Source organism: Homo sapiens, chromosome 11 (genome assembly GCF_000001405.40).
Source record: "Homo sapiens chromosome 11, GRCh38.p14 Primary Assembly".
Classification (NCBI taxonomy): Eukaryota; Metazoa; Chordata; class Mammalia; order Primates; family Hominidae; genus Homo; species Homo sapiens.
Window position 1 is genome coordinate 28,544,370 of NC_000011.10, and position 19,960 is coordinate 28,564,329.

At 38.1% G+C, this 19,960-nt stretch overlaps 1 long non-coding RNA gene across 1 annotated transcript in view; it reads left to right on the forward strand.

Annotated features, from left to right (window-relative positions):
* Positions 1-19,960, forward strand: part of LINC02758 (long intergenic non-protein coding RNA 2758) — a 140,695-nt gene that overhangs the window by 5,423 nt on the left and 115,312 nt on the right. The window contains exons 3-4 of the long non-coding RNA XR_002957243.2: positions 10,997-11,224; positions 17,859-19,959. This is a non-coding gene — a long non-coding RNA (long intergenic non-protein coding RNA 2758). The remainder of the gene's footprint in view (positions 1-10,996; positions 11,225-17,858; position 19,960) is intronic.

The window sequence follows — 19,960 nt, forward strand, 5'->3', positions numbered from 1 at the left end:
CACTCTGGAAATCCAGAACTCTTAAATTAAATGCCATGGCCTTGGGCTCCAATTTTTAGTAAACTCTTCACCACTAGGAAGGGAAAATCAAACCTCACATCGGCAATGTTTACTCTCTTTTCTCTGCCCTTGCAGGAATCAGATCTTTGCTTAGCTTCTGCATTTCCCCATTTTCCTGAGAGGAGACTAGGATTTTGCTATAAGCAGGGAGGTCCAAGCGAGATCCCACATTAGTTTTGAAGAGATATATACATGCCTAGGAATATATTGTTGCAATACTTTCATTCTGAAAACTGTCGTCAAAATCTGGGCCCACCTATTCAATGTGATAAACGCAGTAAAATCTACATCTTTGGAGCAGCTTTCTGAATATCTCATTTTTCCATCTTCATGGCAACTTCTCAGGCCCAGGCATCCATCTCAGTTTCTATTCTAGCTCTCAAGTGATAGTTAATGAGTGTCTGCAAAATGAAAAGGTATAATCCTTCACAAAATATTCGTAATTTCAAAGCTTTGAAGATGAGAGTAACTGACTTCAGAATGCAAAAATACGAAGCTACAATTCCTAGGATAGAGATTTATTTAGTAGAGGGAGGAGAAGACAGGTTCTGGAGGTAATCCAGGCAGTGTAGACAAATTTAGTACTAAGAGTTTGAATTCTGAGATCCCGTTAACCAGTGTGACCTCAACCCTGCACTATGGATCAAGATTATCACTGTAGAACCTTGAAAGCTAGGCAATGTTGTTAAGGAGATTGGGAGCAGAGAATAAAGACATGATTATGGATACTAGAATCTAGTTATTAAATAAAAGGCAAGAGAACCAACTCAAGGCTGACTTGAGGACAAGTCTCTGAGCTCTTTCAAATTTCTAGAACATTGCAACATGGTGGTGTGGCAGGCAGAACAATGGCCTCCCGATGTCCACAACCTAATCCCCCAAACTGGTGAATTTGTTACCTTACATGGCAAAAGGAACTTTGCATATGTGATTAAGTTGAAGATTTTTGAGATGTGGAGATTATTTTAGATTATCCAATTGGGCTCATTATTATCATAAGTGTCCTTATAAGACAGAAACCAGAGTGTCAGAGTCAGAGAGAACTTAGAAGATGCTTTGCTGCTAGATTTGAAGATGAGAGAATTGGCCATTAGCCAAGGAACATAGATGGCCCCTAGAAACTGGAAAACGAACAAACAAAACAAAACAAAACAAAAAAAGCCCAGTTGCTTCCTAGAGCCTCCAGAAGGAACACAGCCCTGCCAACAGTTTGATTTAATCCCAGGAGTAAAATTTGGATTTCTGACCTATAGAATTTAAGATAACCTATTTCTGTTGTTTTAAACTACTAGTTTTGTGATCATTTGTTACAGCAGCAATTGGAAATTAATGTCATGAACAAACATGTTTTGCTTTCAAAAACACAGAGCATTGGCAACTTAAACAAATTTCACTTCACATAAAAATCTCTGTGTCTGACATCTTAAAAACATCTGGAAAGGCTAGTATTATGTTTGTCCTAGAAAGAGTAATTTGGGTTGCACTGTGCTGTGTCCTTTGGATGAGCATGGACTTCAGATGTATTCGTCCATTCTTGGATTGCTATGAAGAACTACCTAGGGAAGAGGTTTAACAGGCTCATGGTTCCACAGGCTATACAGGAAGCATAACTGGGGAGGCCTCAGGAAAATTACAATCATGGTAGAAGGCAGAGGGGAAACAGACACAGCTTACATGGCCTGAGAAGAAGGACGAGAGAGAAGAGGGAGGTGCTACACACTTTTAAACAACCAGATCTTGTTATCACTACCATGAAAACAGCACCTCCCACCAGGCCCCTCCTCCAACACTTGGGATTACAATTTGATACGAGATTTGGGTGGGGACACAAATCTAAACCATATCATCAGAGTTTGTATCACACCCTATTGCGGTGTTTATTGTGACATCTCTCTCCATATGTATTTATGTATATATATTTTTTTGAGTCAGGGTCTTGCTCTGTTGCCCAGGCTGAAATATAGTGGCATGATTTCATTCACTGCAGCCCCCATCTCCTGAGCTCAAGTAGTCCTCCCTTAGCCTCCTGAGTAGCTGGGACTATAGGCACATGCCACCATGCCCAGCTAATTTCTGTATTTTTTGTAGAGACAAGGTTTCACCATGTTGTCCAGGTTGGTCTCAAACTCCTGAGCTCAAGCACTCCACCCGCCTTGGCCTCCCAAAGTGTTGGAGCCACTGTGCCTAGCCTTTCTCCAATTTTATATGCCATGTACCCCTATGGTGTTTAAGTTCCTGGACTGAACTGTTGTAGATCATCCTCTCTGACAAGCAACATGACTGACTCCACAGTTTGGGTTTAGGCTGAATGTGCAAGTTAATGTTAGGTGAGCCCAGCACAGATGTCTATATTGGAGAAACGAGGGAGCCAGGACCCTTGTTCCCATTCTACAGATCATATACTAACCATTATCTGCGGAATGACGGGAAATGGAGTTGTTGCTTGGCTGCATGAAAAAAAATCAGCCTGGGGCAGCACCTGTAAATTCCACGTCATTTTCAAGTTGGCTTTGTCAGTAGCTCATCAGGCCAGGAGAGTGGATGTCATAGAGCCAGCTTGGCCCATGGAAGACTCCTGCACAGCCCAGGCTGCATGGAGCTCTGCCCTCAGTTCTTCATTGAGAGAGGCAGCTCTGACAGCAGGCATATGCAGACTGTGTGGTCACAGGCACAGGTGAAATGAGAAACGGCTGACAGCCGGTCAGAATTGCCCTTGTTGTGTCACGTGGAGCACATCACATTACCAGAGGGCCTCGTTTACTATAGATGAGGAACTTGGTATAAAACTAACAACCCTAAATGATTTTGTTTTTCTATGACCCAGCATGGTAATACGTTGGGAGCATTTGCTCTGCTCTGTCTAACATAATGGTGTCATGGTGAGTTTCCCAGGATTTTATTGGCACTGATGTGAAATAGCTGTTTTTTTCTCTCCAAGGCTATAATTTTCCATGTTCTGATTTTGCAATCATAGCACCATTTGGGTTAACTCAATTGCTTTGTCGCTTCGGTAAAGACAGCCCACACATAATGGCAATTTAAAAAATCATACAATTTTAATAATTGAGTGACTAAGACCCAGAGTGTCTGATACAGGAAGCTCATAATATTTTGTAATATGATTTTGAAAAGATAATAGAGGGTAGAGAAATGAGTACGACAAGAAAATGACAACACTTTCTTAAAGTGCTGCTATTAAGTGGGTATGACAAGCCCAGCTGGGTTCCTACAATGTTTAGCAAAGAACAGGACCCTTCTAAGCTGCTGCCAGAGCCTGCTTGAGTGCAGCAAGAGCAACGTGGTGGTGAATTTGTTTTCTTTCCTCCTCCCTGCTGCCTTTGTTCCTGAGGATTATTTTACCACTGTCCTACCCTCCCTGCTCCTAAAGGCTTGGTGGAGCTCAGGGGCAATGGACCCTGTTGCCATGTTAAGCTTTCTCTTTAATCTCTCCTGCTGGGTGCAGTGGTTCTCAAAGTTTTTTGTTTTGTTTTGTTTTCCCCAAAGCACTAGAGTTCATTCTTCAAGAGAAATAGTTCATGAAAGTTCAATATATAATACTACATATAAAAGCAGCACACTCTGATGGAAGAGATGGAGAGACACAACAGATTCTGAGAATCCTGGCTTTTCTTTCTCTCCCCATCTGGGGACACACGGGAAGATGTTTGAAATCCACTGGCTTGGAGCTCACTGGGAAACCTTGAAGATGCTTTGAAATGGTATTTCCGAGGGTTCCTTCAAGTCAAGGGTGTAGAATTTCTAGTTCAACTACACTTCTAAAAATTCTGTGATTTGAACACTGTTCTGTGAGTAAGGCTCAGAGGGCCTCATCAGATGAAAAGGCCATTTTTGTTGTTGTTGTTGTTGTTATTTTACTTTTTTTTTTTTTTCAAATGCTTTGCTTATTTGGTAAGCTCGAGGGAATTCTTGGAGTTGGAAAAGTTTCCCCCAATGGTCTGTCACATTCATCATTTATCCAAAACAATTCCTCTTGGATTGAAGAAGAGGGTGTGGACATGTCAATGTCCTAGGCACTTGGTTTTCTCTCTAATATTACTTCCTTCTTTTTAGAAGTTTATGTGAAACGGTTTCTGCTTTTGCTTGATCACTGAGATTCTGGACAGTTAATTTTTAGCTAACCTTTCTCAAAGCGGCATTCACTTTGAGGTCTTCCCTCTCACGTAACCAAAGAGGATAAAAATGGTACCCAGGTTACCTAGCCTTAAGTCTCAATTTTGCCGTAAGACCATGGAAGCTCCAAGAGGCCAGGTGATTTTCTAATGACAAACTTTATGCTTTTTTTGGTTTCTAATGTGTCAAAATATACCTAAGCTACTGTAGGAGATTTGAAAAGCTCTAAGTGAGATGGTCTTGATTTTGTTAAAGGAGTTGTTTACATGGTAAGGTGAGTTGAAGTTCATCCCAGGTCATCGGTCACCAGGTAGATAACACAGATTTACCTGATGTCAAAACCAACCTTCTATTTCCCTAGTATTTCCACTATATTCACAGGGTATTTGGCATTGTATAGACAGCTTAGATGAAGTCTCCTTGGAAATGAAAGCTCACTGTAAATTAGAGAAAACAGCCGTGTTTTATTCTTGATCCCAGGATCAAACTCAGAAAGTAACCTTAAGGCAATTTCAACCCTTCAGGGGCTCAGTTGCTCTCCAAGGGAAAATCACTTCAGCTGTGTAGGTTGCTTTAGAGAAAAAAGGGTGTTAATAGAAGAATTGCCTTTCTTACTTCAATGCTGTGGACAGTGAGTGGCCAATTTACTCAGACCTGAGGGCTGTGAGCATAGACAGGTGGCTTTCAATGCCCAGCCCAGCTCAAAGTCATGAGAGTAGATCAGAAACTAGATGGGGGTGTTTGGTGTCACTCTCTAAATTGTATAGATATTATTGACAGACATTTAGGCACACAGTAGGAGAGGGAAACTTTTCTATTCTTCTGCAAGCCTGAGTCAGTCTCTCTTTCCTCTTCCCCTTTTATTCAACTGCCTCCGTGTTAAACAATCTCTGTCAGATCAGCCTACAAATATTTCCAAACCGTTGTCCTTTTCTGAACCTCTTAAATAATGTTCCATATTGACTTGAAACTCCACTTGCCATAAATGCATAAATGGTTACTTTTTATGGTGATTGAATTCAAGTTATTTTCTCTATTTAGAATGTTCTTCCTCATATCCACTTGTCTAAACCTTGCTGTAATAGATTTCCCAAGGACTGCTATCTCTCCCCATAAGAGAATTTTACCTCCATACTCCAGTGACAGCAAACTTGACCTGTAAATTGCTTTGACTGATGAAATGTGAATGAAAGTTACTTAAGTCACTTCTGAGCAGCAGCTTTATGAAGTATTACATGGTTCTGTCATTATTCTTTTTCCTCTGCCATCAGACATGTGTGTTCCACATAGGTCATATTCTGTCAGGTTAGTTGCAGAATAAAAGAGATGTGCAGCTGAACCACAATGGACATGCAATACAGGAGGAAAAAAGAAATTGTTGTTGAGATTTGGGGATTGTTTGTTACCACAGCACATGATAGCATAAGTTGACTAATGCACTTGTTTATAATTCAAAGCCCAATTCAATGTCATTTCTTCTACAAAACCTCTTATTTCTGTAATATGATATCACTGGATTTGAATCCTAAATTTGCCACTTTGTGAGTAATAAGACATTGGAAAATTTATTCAGTCTTTCTAAGGTTTAGTTCCTTTACCTGTAAAATGAGGAGAATACTAATACTTTAAGGAGTGTCACAAGATTTAACATAATTCATGTAAAGCTCTTAGCACTTAGTAGTTAACTAGTATTATTTATCTTTTAAGTTTTCCATTTCTTATTTATAGCAACTGGCATACTGCCTTGCACTTAGGAAATGTTTAATAATTGTTGAATAAATCAACGAATTAAAAAAATGCTCATTGATATCCATCGTATTTTACTTTACTCTTAAGAGTTGAGGGTGAAGGCCACCATGGATTATCTAGAAGTTCCACCCTGGAATTTACCATGGACCATACAGTTTTAAAAGAGGAGAGCATAGCTTTCATTAGCAAGTTATCTTGATTTCTTGAGAGCCAGAGGAAAAATCAGAGAAGGATTTTCTAGTCTCCCATGTGGCAGAAAATGCTTAACAATTTCTTCAAGGCTGAATAAGGCATAAACGTATATACTTTTCCTCAGGTGTCTTCTGTCCCTCTTTTCCAGGAAATTCTGTATGTATGAGCTAAATAATGATTATAGGTAATATTCCTATTATCAAAGAGAAAGGATGATTGTAAAATAATAAAATGTGAGATTTGATTTTATTACTCCCTAAATCCTTTTATAAAATGTTCTCATTTCATATAAGGAACACTCATGCTGCTTTTTTATACTTACCCTTTAGGGTAATTTCCTTTTTCCATTCAGAATTCATCCTGTTTTTTTAAATGGCTCCCCAAAGTCTTCCTTTGCTAATAGTTGCTCACCCATCTGTGCATACGCATGCCATCCTGTAATTCTGGTTTCTAAGCAAAGAAAAATTTTATCTCCAATGAAACCAACTGGAGGACATAAAATATAAATCAACTTCTTAGGGCTTATCTCCCAAGCACCATCACTATGGATGATGTATCAGGAGATGAAAAAATGTATGAAAGAGATTTATAATTAAGAATTTAGTCACCTATGTCTAGATCAGTATTGTTTTCCTCCAATTAGATACTGAGTTTTTAGGAGACTGTCTTTGTATGCTTTAGAGAACTGAGTCAGAAAGCTGGAAATGACTCCACCAATTATTTGTTGATTTACTGATTATCATTTTGCTCAAGTGATGAGTCTTGGCCCTGCAATAATACTATCAAGTTGTATACGCAAAACTAAGGGCTAAATTTTATGGTGTAGAATATGAGTGCAGTAGAAATTAATTAAATGGTCTGAATAGCTATGATAATGCCAGATACCAGGGATAATCTTCATGTTTAAGGTATTAGAAGTAAGAAGAAATCAATATCAGCTTCTTTATAACTTGGTAAGGGAAGCATAGCTATAAATATAAGCTAGAAGGAGTACAGAAGAGTGAGAAATTGCCTTGAACAGATAATAGATGGCTTTGCATAGAAGTTCTGTTTGAGCTGGTTCTGGAAGGAGTAGTCATTATGTGACAAAAGAACAATGTGGAAAAATAAAAGCCCTGATATCAGAAAGCATAGGAGATAAAAAAGTAGTATGTATTTAAAAAACTAGATCACTTAGACCTGTTGAGTTTGAGAGACTTGGGTTGGGAGATAACCAGAAAAGACTTCTGTATATGGACTGAAAAGTATTTTATAATTTTCAAGGTGGCAATTTTGATTGACTAGAAGGTGTGAATAGATGAAGAGAACTGGATGTTCCAGAAAGAAGGTGAGGAAGAATGGAGAGGGTAATCAGGCTGTAGGCTGAAGGTAAAAATAAGCATCGCATTGATATTTGGATGTGATTGAGTCACCTGAGACCAAACTGCAAACTCATTGTCCTAGTCTAGCGTCCATGATAAATGCATGAAGATTTGAAAGCTTCTTGAGGGTAGGCCCAACAATTTATCCCATTAATTTCTAGGCTCACACTCAGTGAATGCCTAGCAAAAGAACAGATTTATCAATCTTTCAATTTTTTTCTGCTTTATTCATCCAATGCTGCCTATCAAAACTCTTGCCAGTTGTTCCCCCTCGTGCTTTGATTCACATGAGTATTAGATATTCGTGAATATCTAATATTCACATAGTGTTAGTTTTGGGCCGGGTTCTGTTCTAAGTGCTGTGTATGTGTTCTCTCATTGCAACCCTCTAAGGAAGCTGGTGCTGTATATGAGATTCCTCCTAACAACCGCATGAGAGTGGTAGTAGAGATAAAAATCTGAGTCACATCAAGCAACTTTCCTAAATGGAGGAAGTGGGATTGAACCTGGGCAATCTTGGTCCAAAGTCTGAGCATTTAACCACCATGCTCTGGTTTCTAAAGACAGCATGTACGTTTGCTGATGGGACCAATAGTGCAAGCATTTGTGTACAGTTTACTTTCTGATAATTTTCCTATTTCTATGACTCTTGGCAACGTGCTGTACCATTTCCAAAGAAACATGACAGAGTGGAAGGAAGATCTGCTTCGGAGTGAGTCTGGACTCCACATATACTCATTGTGTAGCCTTTGGTAAGACACTTAACTTCTTTACAACTTTCCCATGACTGTTCATTTGTAAATGCGAATGGAAATTTACACACTGCGGAGTTGGTATGAAGATTGTGACTAATCCAGGTGAAATTTTCTGGCATATAGTGAGTTCTCAATAAACATTAGCCATCAGAATTAGTTGTTCTTGTTAATGTGGCGGCCACCTGCTTCTCTTGCATCCCTAGGCTTGGGTACTTTTGAGAACAGATTAGGTACTAAATAAAGGCTGGCTGACTAGTTGACTGATATTTTTTTGCCTTGCCTGGGGGAAGACATCCCAGAACAATATGTTACTATTAGTCATTTTTCTCTAATTTGTACACAGTCTCTTTAATAACCATTTGCACTTGCATAGCACTTTCTATTAACTGGAGTTGGTTTTACTAACATTAATGAGACTTGCAAAATACCTGTGTTATGGCAGGATTATTATTAGCCTGAGAAAATTTTTCATCACAGTTTGTCACAGGTTGAAAAAAAAGCTAATAATTTAACAGAAAAACCAAGACTACAATATTCATATTCCACACACAGTGACTGGTTGTCTTCATTTAGGTGTACTGTTTGGAAGTCCCAGTGCTTTTTCCTTCTCCTGACAGTTTCCAACTAAAGTCCACTGCTGATATCAAAGGCCACTGATGTGCAAATTATTTCTGTGTTCATTATTCTTTTACCTCATTCACAGAGCAGGATGATGCTTTGCACTAGTTTCTACTTAGAGTGCTCCAGATCTGGTAGGTAACAGAAGACATGCATTTAGGCCTCAAACAGTACAATTTAAAATAAATTCTGTTGGAAAAAGCAAGTCATATTAGTGACATGAACCAATGGCCTACTATATTATGACACAAAAGAAACCACTGATATTTGTTAGCATAGTAGCTAGCTCTCTGGCTTGCCAGTATTCCATTTTACAACCTAAACACATATAATTTTTGTTCCAAAGAGTAAAGGAATCTATTTATACAATGTGAGCAATTTTTTAAAACTCAAGCAACAGATAATGAGACAGCTACTAATCCCATGTGGCAAATCCTACTCAGAGAGTACTTTTTCTCCTCTTGCAGCCAATCTGTTATTTGTTATTGTATTTTTTATTTAGTATTCTTTTTAAAAATTGGGTAGAGACCTCCTAGCCTTTTAATCTGCAAGGCAGAAAAATGCTGTACTACTTGTTACTCCTTGTGATCACCATATGTAGAACAGATTATCCAAAGCTGTTTCCCTAATTCTTCTCATTAATTTTTTTCTCTCACTGTCTTACAACATAGGTGGTCTCCCTGGGGTTTCTCACCAGCTAGATATGTACATTTTTGCTAGTTATTTTACATCTTTGAGCTTCATTTTGCTTTTATCTGTAATGGGGGAGATAAGTTAGAAGTGCTTGCTATTTTTTAAAGTTTTTTTCTAGCTCTAAATTATATATATTTTGTCATAATGCATTACATTGTTAACAATTTAGTTTTGCTCAATGAACATTGTTTGAGCTGAAGTCAATCAAGAAGTATATTGCATTTCTGTGGGCAAAGAAATGGTGTAGGTTATTCCATTAGTTTCCTATTGCTGCTGTAACAAGTTACCACAAACTTGGAGGCTTAAATAACACCAGTTTACTGTCTTACAGTTATGTAGGTTAGAAATGCTTTATAGGTTTCACTGGAATAAAGTCAAGGCATTTGCAGGGCTTTGCTGGTTCTGGAGGCTCTAGGGGAGAATCCATCTCCTTGTCTTTTCCACCTTCTGGAAGCTGCCTCATTCCTTGGCTCATGTCCCCTTTCTTCTATCCTCAAAGCCAGCAACATGGCATCTCTGTTTGTGACTCTTTTTCTCCTCACATTTTCCTGACTGATTCTTCTCTTCTATCTCCCTCTTTCACATGTAAAGACCCTTGAGATTATACGAGGCCATCCAGATAATCCAGGATAATCTTAAAGTTGACTGATAAGCAACCTTAATTGCATTTGCAAACTTAATTCCACTTTGCCATGTAATCTAACATATTTACTAGTTCCAGGAATAAGGATGTGGATATTTTGAGGGGATGACATTATTCTGCCTATAAGAGTTATATATGCATTGATCTGTTTTTTTTTAAACAAACAACTATTATATGCCAAACACCATTAGCTACCGAGAATGGACTAGAAGGAAAAAATAGAAATAGTCTCTGACATGTTGAAATTTATAAAGAAGTGATATGACATGGGTTAGATTGTAACAGATGAACATTAAATTGCAACTGTAATAAGGAAGGAGTGATATTATGATACACTATTTAATATGGTTTAGAAGTGTGTCACCTCCAAACCTCATGTTGAAATGTGACCCCAATGTTAAGGTGGGCCTAGTGCTAGGTGTTTGGGACATGGGAGTGGATCCCTCTTGAATAGCTTGGTGCTGTTCTCTCAGCAATGAATGAGTTCTCACTCCATGAGTTCATGTGACAGTTAATTGTTAAAATGAGTCTGAGACCTCCCCCTTTTTATTTTACCTCCTCTCTTGTCATATTACACACCTGCTCCCCTTTCACTTTCTGCCATGAGGAAAACTTTCCTGAGGTTCTGACCAGAAGCCAAGCTGATGGTAGTGCCATGCTTGTACAGCCTGCAGAACCATGGGCCAAATAAACCTCTTCTTTCTAAATTATTCAGCCTCAGACATTTCTTTATAGCAACACAAAATGAATTACTACACTATAAAAAGATTTTTTGACTTAGTAAAAGTGGCCAGGAAATGCTTCTCTCAGGAAGTGGTGACCATTTAGTTGACATCTAAAGAAGCATTTGGAATTTACCAGATGCAGAAGGGAGGAGAGTCCCACGAAGAAAGAAGAACAACATATGCAGAGGTCTTGGAGCAGGAACGAGCATGGCCATTCAGAGAAACTGCGCTGATGCCTCTGTGGCTGGAGCTCCAGCTGGAGGGTGCCATGATGCCTTATGAAATGAAACTATGAAGGTGAGAGGGGCCAAATCATGCTCTGTACCTGTGTTGGCCATGCCCAGAAAACACTATTAGTGATAATGGCATTTGAAAACCATACAATAGTTTAAGTACTACATTGACCTGATCAAATCAGATTTTCAGAAGTTAATTTTGAGGATAGAAGACCCAGTCCCTGCCTTCAAGCAGCTCTCAGTAGTTTAATAGAAGTCGTAAATATACACATGAAAAGTTAAATAACAAAAATTAAGTAGAAAAGACAGACCATAAGACGGTACAGATAAAAGCTCTGAATTTAAGGGATGCGAGTCAATAATCTAAGAAGTTTTTCTGGAAAAAGATAGACTTGTGATAACCATAGATATACTTTGATAATGATACTTTATTAAGGACACTAACTACCTTAGTTATCTTTTGCTATACATTTAGTGGCTTTTTTACTATACATTTAGTGGCTTAAACAATGTTCATTTATTATTCCACAGATTTCTAGGTCAGAAGTGCAGTATACTGTGTCTGTGTTCTCTGCTCAGGGTCTCAAAGGCTAAAATCAAAGTGTTAGAGGAGCCGCTTTCTTTCTGAAGCTCTGAGGGAAGAATCTGCTGCCAAGTTTATTCAAGTTGTTGGCAGAATTCAGTTCATTGTGGTTGTAGGTCTGAGGTCCCCATTTCCTTGACATGTGGTCTTCTTCATCTTCAAGCCAGCCAGAGCAAATTCTTCTCATTCGCTGAATCTCTCTAGTGTCTTTCTTCTGTTTTTAGGTGCTTATGGGGTTATATCAGGTCTACCCAGATAATCCAGGATAAATCCCTATTTTAAGCTCAAGCGATTAACCTTCATCACATCTGCAAAGTTGCTTTTGCCAAGTAAGGTGATAACATATTCCAAGTACTGAGATTAAGGCATTGAATATCCTTGGGGGTGGGGGTGGGAGTGGGGGTCATAATACTCCCTGCCATACACACAGAACCAGACGAATGGGAAATTCCAAAGGATCTCCCTTTGAATTTCTTACATTATGGCTTAGGAGATAAGTTTAAGTACAATAATAACTATGTTGTTGTTGTTGTTGTTGCATGTGTGTGATATCATGATCATAAATGCCCATTAGACCCAAGAATATATACATGTTTTAAACAAAACAGGGAGGCCTTTGGTCAGCTATGGAGCACACAACCAACATAAAGTCTTTCAAATTCAATTTTTTTTAAACAAAATATTCGCTGGCCAAACAAAATATACTTGTGGGTAAAATCTGGCCCATTGGCTGCCAGATGTGAACCTTGAGATAGGTTCTCTAAAAACTGGTGAAAAAATAAGTTAGAAAAATGACAAAATTTGAGGCACTTGGTGCTAAAACTCTTCATTTCTTTTGTCATCACCAGCATTTGCTAAAATTAATTGTTCCCTCCTCCTTGAAACATGTTCTCTGGAACACCACTCTCTTGTATTCCTACTTCTGTCTCCTTTGCCCCTCCTCTTCCCAATTCTGCATGCTGAGGTGCCCCAGGATCTAGTCCTTGGAATTCCTTCCTGATCCACATTAATTCTCATTGATCTCATTCAGTCCCTTGGCTATAAATGCTGTGTCTAGAGTGATGACTCCCCAGTTTATGTTTTTAGCCCTGACTTCTCCCCTGAACTCTTGTCATTTCTATCCAGCTGCCATTTGAACATCTCCACATCCATTTCTAATAGCCAACTCCATCCTAATGTGTCCAAACTGGACTTTTCTTTTTTCTTCCCAAACTTGCTGCTCTTTCACCTTCTCCATCTCAGTAAATGGCTGCCCCATTTTTTCAACTGCTCAGACCCAAAACCTTGTGTCACTCCTGATATTTTTCTTTCTTTCACACCCTACATCTCACCTATTAACAAGTCACATGGGCTAGATCTTCCAGGATCTGGTCATCTCTCACTACTCACAATGCCATCACCCTGGAATAATGCAAAACCATGTCTTCCCCAATGGACCCCTTGTCTACACTCTTACCCTGCTACTGTCTATTATCCACACACCAGCCAGAGTGATTTCATTTTAAATGTGAAACCCAAGTCACATCATATCACTCCTTTCTTTATATATGCCAGCAGCTTCCCATCTTACCCAGAATAACTTTTAATGTCCTTCCCTTGGCATAGCATCTGGCTCTGCTTGAATCCTTGACCTCATTTCCAATCTTTTCTACTTTTTCATATTACTTTAATCACATCAACTACCTGGCTCTTCCTTGAACAGACAAAGTGCTCTCCATCATCCTTTTCTCTTCTTTTCTTACCCTGTTGCTTCATTTGGTTGTCTACTTAAATGTCAAATAATAGTGAGATCTTACTTTGTTTAATTTTTAAATAGCATTTACCCTGCATGGCAAATGACATGTTATGTATTTATATGTTTATTGGTCTAGTGACTGTCCTTCCTCACTAAAATGTAAGTAAAATCTGTGACATCAAGAACTTTGTTTCGTTGACTGAAGCACTCAGTACCTAGAACAAGGATAGAAATGTATTTATCAAAGGGATTAATAAATTCCATCCCCCTCCAGTGAAATTTTTCTGGCAGGGCTTTCATTCTGAAGTAGTGAGTCTTACACTAAGCTTTGAATGAAGACATGAGCTTGGATTGATAGAGGAGAAAAATGAAGCATTTCTGGGAGGGGAGCTAATTCCAATAAAGACACAAGCTAGAAGTGAGCAAGACACAGATCCTATAAATAACTATTAATAATTTCCAGTGTTTATTGAGTACTTACTATGTGCCAAGTACTGCTTCACTTTTTAAGTCATTTAATTCTTATAATAATGCTAGTAGGTAGTTGGCATTACAGTTTTACTACTAAATGTTGGTTTATCCCACTGGCTGCATGTTTAATATAAAAAGACAACCTTCGCCTTGAAAAGCAGCAATGATATGATAAAGATTACAGGTCTTTTGAGAACAAACCAGAATATTCAATCAGAAATTGACTGTGATATGGCACCTATATAAAATCCTAAATATGAATAAAGAGCTATGCATAATGGCAGTTATTGCAACATTATATATGAGTAAAAAACAGTGGCAAGTTATTCTTCTTTCACATAGAAGTAAATCCAAGGATGGGAAAGACACTACCCCCCAACTGCCCACACATACATACACACGTTTTCTTCTAAAGGGAGTTTTTGTCTGCTCAAGAATTTAGACAAGTAATTGGTTGAGTTCCCAGAGTTCTGCACCTTAAACCAGAACTCGCTATTTTAATCTAAGAAGAAAAAGAAAATAAAGAAAAGGAAAAGAAAAGAAAACCTCAAGGGTACAGGCTTTACAATCATATAGACCTGTGCTCCAATTCTGGCTCTGTCATTTATAAAAAAGACAAACTAAGGGGATTTCCCTCATACAATTCTCAGTTTCTTCACCTGTAAAATGGACTTAACAACTGGGTTATATCAGAGGGGACTTTGATGAGATAATTGCTCTTTTCCTGTGAAATTAGGACCATTCCACTCTTTCCTCTGTCTTAGGCAATGACTGGAACTTCCATTTATCCAATTTTGTATTCTAGAACCTATGCCACATCCTTAACACTTCTCTCACCTTCTCTGTCTTTCCCATGCCTAGATTCTGCCAATGCTGCCACCTACATATCTATCAGAGCCACCTACGTCTTTCCATCTTTTCTCCTTGGGTCTCCTTTACCCTCGTTAGTACAGATTCTCAACTCTTGCTTAGATTACTGTAATAACCTTCAAAGGAGGATTCATTCCTGTACTTTGTCCTTCTTTCTCTTCATTTCCATATTGCAGTTGAAACAATATTCTCACAATGAAAATATGATCAAGTTCCCCTCTAAACTCACAGCTTTAAACCTTTCACTGTTTTCTCTTTGATCACAGATATATACACAAATCTATACCTTGTCCCACCTTACCTAACTCTCTTGTCTCATCATGGATTCTTTCCCCACCCCTCTCTTTCTGCTTTCCAACTCACTGGCTTTCTTTGAATTCTTCAAACACACCATGTTCCCTACTGCTTCAGAGCTTTTGTGTTCCCTTTGATCGAATGCTTTTGCCTCCGCCCACCCCATTTTCATTTAGGGACCTGCATGATTCAGCCTTTATCTCACAGCCTGCGTCAGTTTATTTTAATGTGTTTTCTCAGTACCTTGTTACTCCTTTAGAGCTCTGTTATCAATTTGTAATTACAGCATTCCCCACTTATCTGCGGTTTCACTTTCTGCAGTCTCAGTTATCCACGGCCAACCACAGTTTGAAAATATTAAATGAAAAAAATTCCAGAAATAAACAATTCATAAGCTTCCCATTTGCCCACTGTTCGGCATAGCATGATGAAATCTCACACCACCCCACTTCAGCCTGCTCAGGATGCGAACCCCCTTTTTGTCCAGCATATCCATGCTATATATGCCCCCTGCACTTGAGTCTCTTCATAGGTGTCTGGGTTATCAGATCAACTGGTTGTTATATTGCAGAGCTTGTGTTCAATTTACTCTCATTTTACTTAATAATGCTTTAGCAACAATAACTTCATTTAGTTACTGTTATTCATCTCTTACTGTGCCTAATTTATAAATTAAACTTTAACATAGATATGTATATATCTATGAAAAAAATAGGAAATAGGAAAAAAATAGTATATGTACATGGTTTGCTACTATCTATTATTTCAGGTCTCCACTGGGGTTTTTGGAACTTATCTTCCTTGGATAAGAGGGGACAACTGTGTACATTATTACAGTGGTCATATGATTAATTCCTCTAGGGGACTCTGTGTTCCATGGAAGTAGAAACCTGTTTGCCTTTGCTGACTCTATCTCCAGTGCTCAGCACCACATCTTCTACATCGTGGATGTTTCATTAACATTTGCAGAATGAATAATCAAATAAGACTTTACAGAACATCTCCACATAGTAGGCTCTCAATCATAGTGGCTATTACCACTATTATCTTTTAGCTACTTGAGTCATAAAATCACATGTTTATTCTCTGAAGAAGACCAGTTTGAGTACACTTTTGTCTTAGTGGCTCCAACATTTTGCAAGAGCAGACCACAAATGTCCCCCCTATAGCTGAAAAACCTTCCTGTGTGTACAACTCTTTAACTCAACATTTAAGTCTGCATTTAAATATGAAATAATGGATACCAAATAAAATGATTTCTAGTATTTTTTAAAAGGAAGTTTCTGGTAACTAGCCAATGAATCTCTTCTTTTTTAAAGGCCACTCCCAGTTAATAAAAAATAAAACTATCATTAGCATAAGGGATGCTGCCTGTTTCCTTTGATAAGTGAACAAGCAGCCCATTCCTCCAACAACTGAATCATATTCATGAAGCATAAATAAAAAAGGAGGTTATGACCCAAATATTTCTTTTATTAAATATAATTGGAATTTCATCTGTTAAAAGATCATGTCTACCTACTCTGATTTTAGACTCTGTCTTTCCAAATTTATTACTGGCTACTTTTTTTTTTTTAACTGCATTCCTTTCACACAGAACTGCTTGCTGTTTTCTATCTACATCCCAAATTTTCCCATTCTGTGCTTTTACTAATGCCTTCTTTGTTGCCTAGTATGGCTGTTATTCCACCAATACTTCAAGGCCCATTCAAGGCAATCTCCTTATTGACCTCCCATTTGGAAAGAAATCTCTATCTCTTGGGTCTTCCTGCAATTCTTTTTCTTTTTTTTAATTTTCTGCAATGGCATTTGTAATTTTACCCTTTTTAACTTTATAATGTATTTGCTATGTAGATTTGTTATATGTTCTGCTAGATTTTAAGATCCTTAAGGGAAGGGTTTATGTCTGACTCAATTATTATCTGGCATCTTACCTGTATATTGATGGCCTTAGATAAGCATTTGCTAAATGAATAAATGAAAAGGTAAATATTTAAATGGAAGAAGAGATATACAGACTTTAATAAAATATTGTTAACCTAGAATAACCTAGAATTCATATTGATGGAATATATCCATGACCCCAGATTATACCTGTCTATAAAACCAAAAATGAAAGAACTATCAGTATATCCTGAGACAAGCCTTATGTCACTCCTAACCATGTTCTTGAGATATAAAATTAATCAGGGTTCAAAATCGTTTTGTATATACATCTGAACTGTAGTTTTTACTTGTTCCTCATATAACATATTAGAAAAAACATAGTCAGGCAAATTGTTGAGTAGAAACAAGGACGATCACATTTATAATATTGAAGAGCTGGATGGAACTGAATACAGCAAGTCCATTTGTAGACTTCATTCATGGGGTTATCCAGTCCATATAAATAATGGGCACTGATATGGTTTGGCTGTGTTCCCACCCAAATCTCTGAATTGTAGCTCCCATAATTCCCACATGTTGTGGGAGGGAGCCGGTGGGAGACAATTGAATCGTGGGGGCGGTTTCCCCCATACTGTTCTCTTGATAGTGAATAAGTCTCAAGAGATCTGACAATTTTATAAGGGGCTTCCCTTTTCACTTGGCTCTCTCATTCTCTCTTGTCTGCTGCCATGTAAGTTGGTACCTTTTGCCTTCCTCCATGATTGTGAGGCCTCCCCAGCCACATGGAACTGTGAGTTCATTAAACCTCTTTTTCTTTATAAATTGCTCACTCAGTCTTGGATATTTCTTCATCAGCAGCATGACAACGGACTAATATAGGCATCATCACTGAACATAGTATCTGGATCAAGGATGGCAAATACCAGGTACGTGCACTTCTATTTCTTCATTCAGTGGATAGAATAGATGTCATTCATCAAAGCTGATATTCTTTCCCACCAACAGGTGTGATCTTAGAATTTTTCCTAACCCAGCACTCCAGATACCAATATCAGTTAATATACATGGTATATCTCAAATCTAAATGATTCTAAGTTGTGGAGGAATTTTCTCAAGGCCTTTTAGTTTTTGTTTTGTTTTAGTTTGTTTTAGTTTCAGGTGACTAATAACATATTTTAAGTTATGTAAAACCTCCTGACCCCAGTAAGGGATGATAAGTATAGATTATTATAGAATTGTATGGGTGAGTAAAGCAATTTCTCCAGTGATCACAGTACACCTGCTCTTCTGTGATGCCTCCTACAAAAGCCATGCTGTAGGCAACAATGCCGCCTAAACCTTATTCATTATTGGATCTGGTAGATATCAAAGCCTCCTAGGCAATTGACTCGAATACTATTTTTTTTCTGAAAATGATAGATTGCTTAGGAAAAGCTCAAATTTGTGTGTGTGTGTGTGTGTGTGTGTGTGTGAGAGAGAGAGAGAGAGAGAGAGAGAGAGAGAGAGACTTCATCTGAATTCTATTAAGGTGTTATGTCATCAACTTTTCTAGAAGCCAAAAATAGCCTAGGATTCATTTTTGAATTTTGGTGGCCTAGATCAAGAATTGTACAGGGAGCTTCCACTGACTGCAGTCACTTATTGATATGTAGGCCTGGACCATTGGTTCTCAACCAGGGGCAATTTTGTTCCCAAACCTCTCCTAAGGGATATTGTCAATATCTGGAGACATTTTTGGTTGTCAAAACTGGGAAGGGAGGTGCCACTAGCACTAGTGGGTAGAGGCCAGGGACGCTTCTGAACACCCTGCACTGTACAGGACACATCCTACAGTACAGTCATCCAGCCTCAAATGTCAATAGTACAGTTTTTGAGAAATTCTGATTTAGAGAATTGCTCTAGAATGTTAGCTCACTGAGGTTGGGGATCTGATTTTCTTAGAGTCCATAGCACAATGCCTGGAAAATATTAAGTGCTTATGATTTCTTAAATGATTGAATGGAAGAATGGATGAACAATTCCATTTTAGCAACTCATGACATTGCTTAGGAAATAGAGTGATTCTTACTTTATCTTCATAGCCTCTTTGTTTGACCAATGAGCGTGACCACACTTAAAGCTAGTAATGATGAAGTTCCTAGTATATTGAAGAGGTAAATAAATACTCTTGCTTTGGCCCAAAATATCAATGTTCATTGTGGAATTAAACAATGACGAACTGATGACTGAAAGATCTATGACAGTATCTCTATCATTGGAAATGTAAGACCTTCTCTTTAGGCCATGTATGGGTTCTCATCAATTTTTGGTTGTGAGGATAAATTATTTTAAGATGTATTTTTCTCTCATATTGCTAAGTTAACTTTTGCTATATTAATAATAGTAACAACAATAACATAAAAAAGATGGTCAATCTTCCCAGTCCGTGTGGTGGAGTTGAGTCTTTGACAAAACTATTTCCAATTATTTATTATTCAAAATGTTATCAAGACAGCTAAAAGAACTTGAGTATATAAAGCTCAAGATACTGTCATAAGGTCTTTAGGATTTAAAACATATATTATGAATCTCTGTATTTCCAGGACTCTGCTCTGTTACAGGTGAATTTTGTCTTAAAACTCAACTTGGGCATAGTTGGACATGAATCTGTCAGGGTTTCTTTGAAAGCTATCTCTTAGGTCTGATCCTGTGACTTCTGTCAGTCACTGGGTAAAAACAAAGTTAAAAAAAAAAAGAAAACCTCATGCAGGAGGAAAGAGAATTGACATTTGTCAAGCAACAGCATGATACCAGGTCTTAAAAATATACCTTTTTCTCAATTAATCCTCATAACTAATACATGAATATGTATTATGTCTTTGTGTGTTTTACAGATGTGGAGGCTGTTACTCACAGAGGTTAATAACCTCCACCAGGATCACTCAGATATAAGTGGCAGAGTTTACATAGAACCCAGG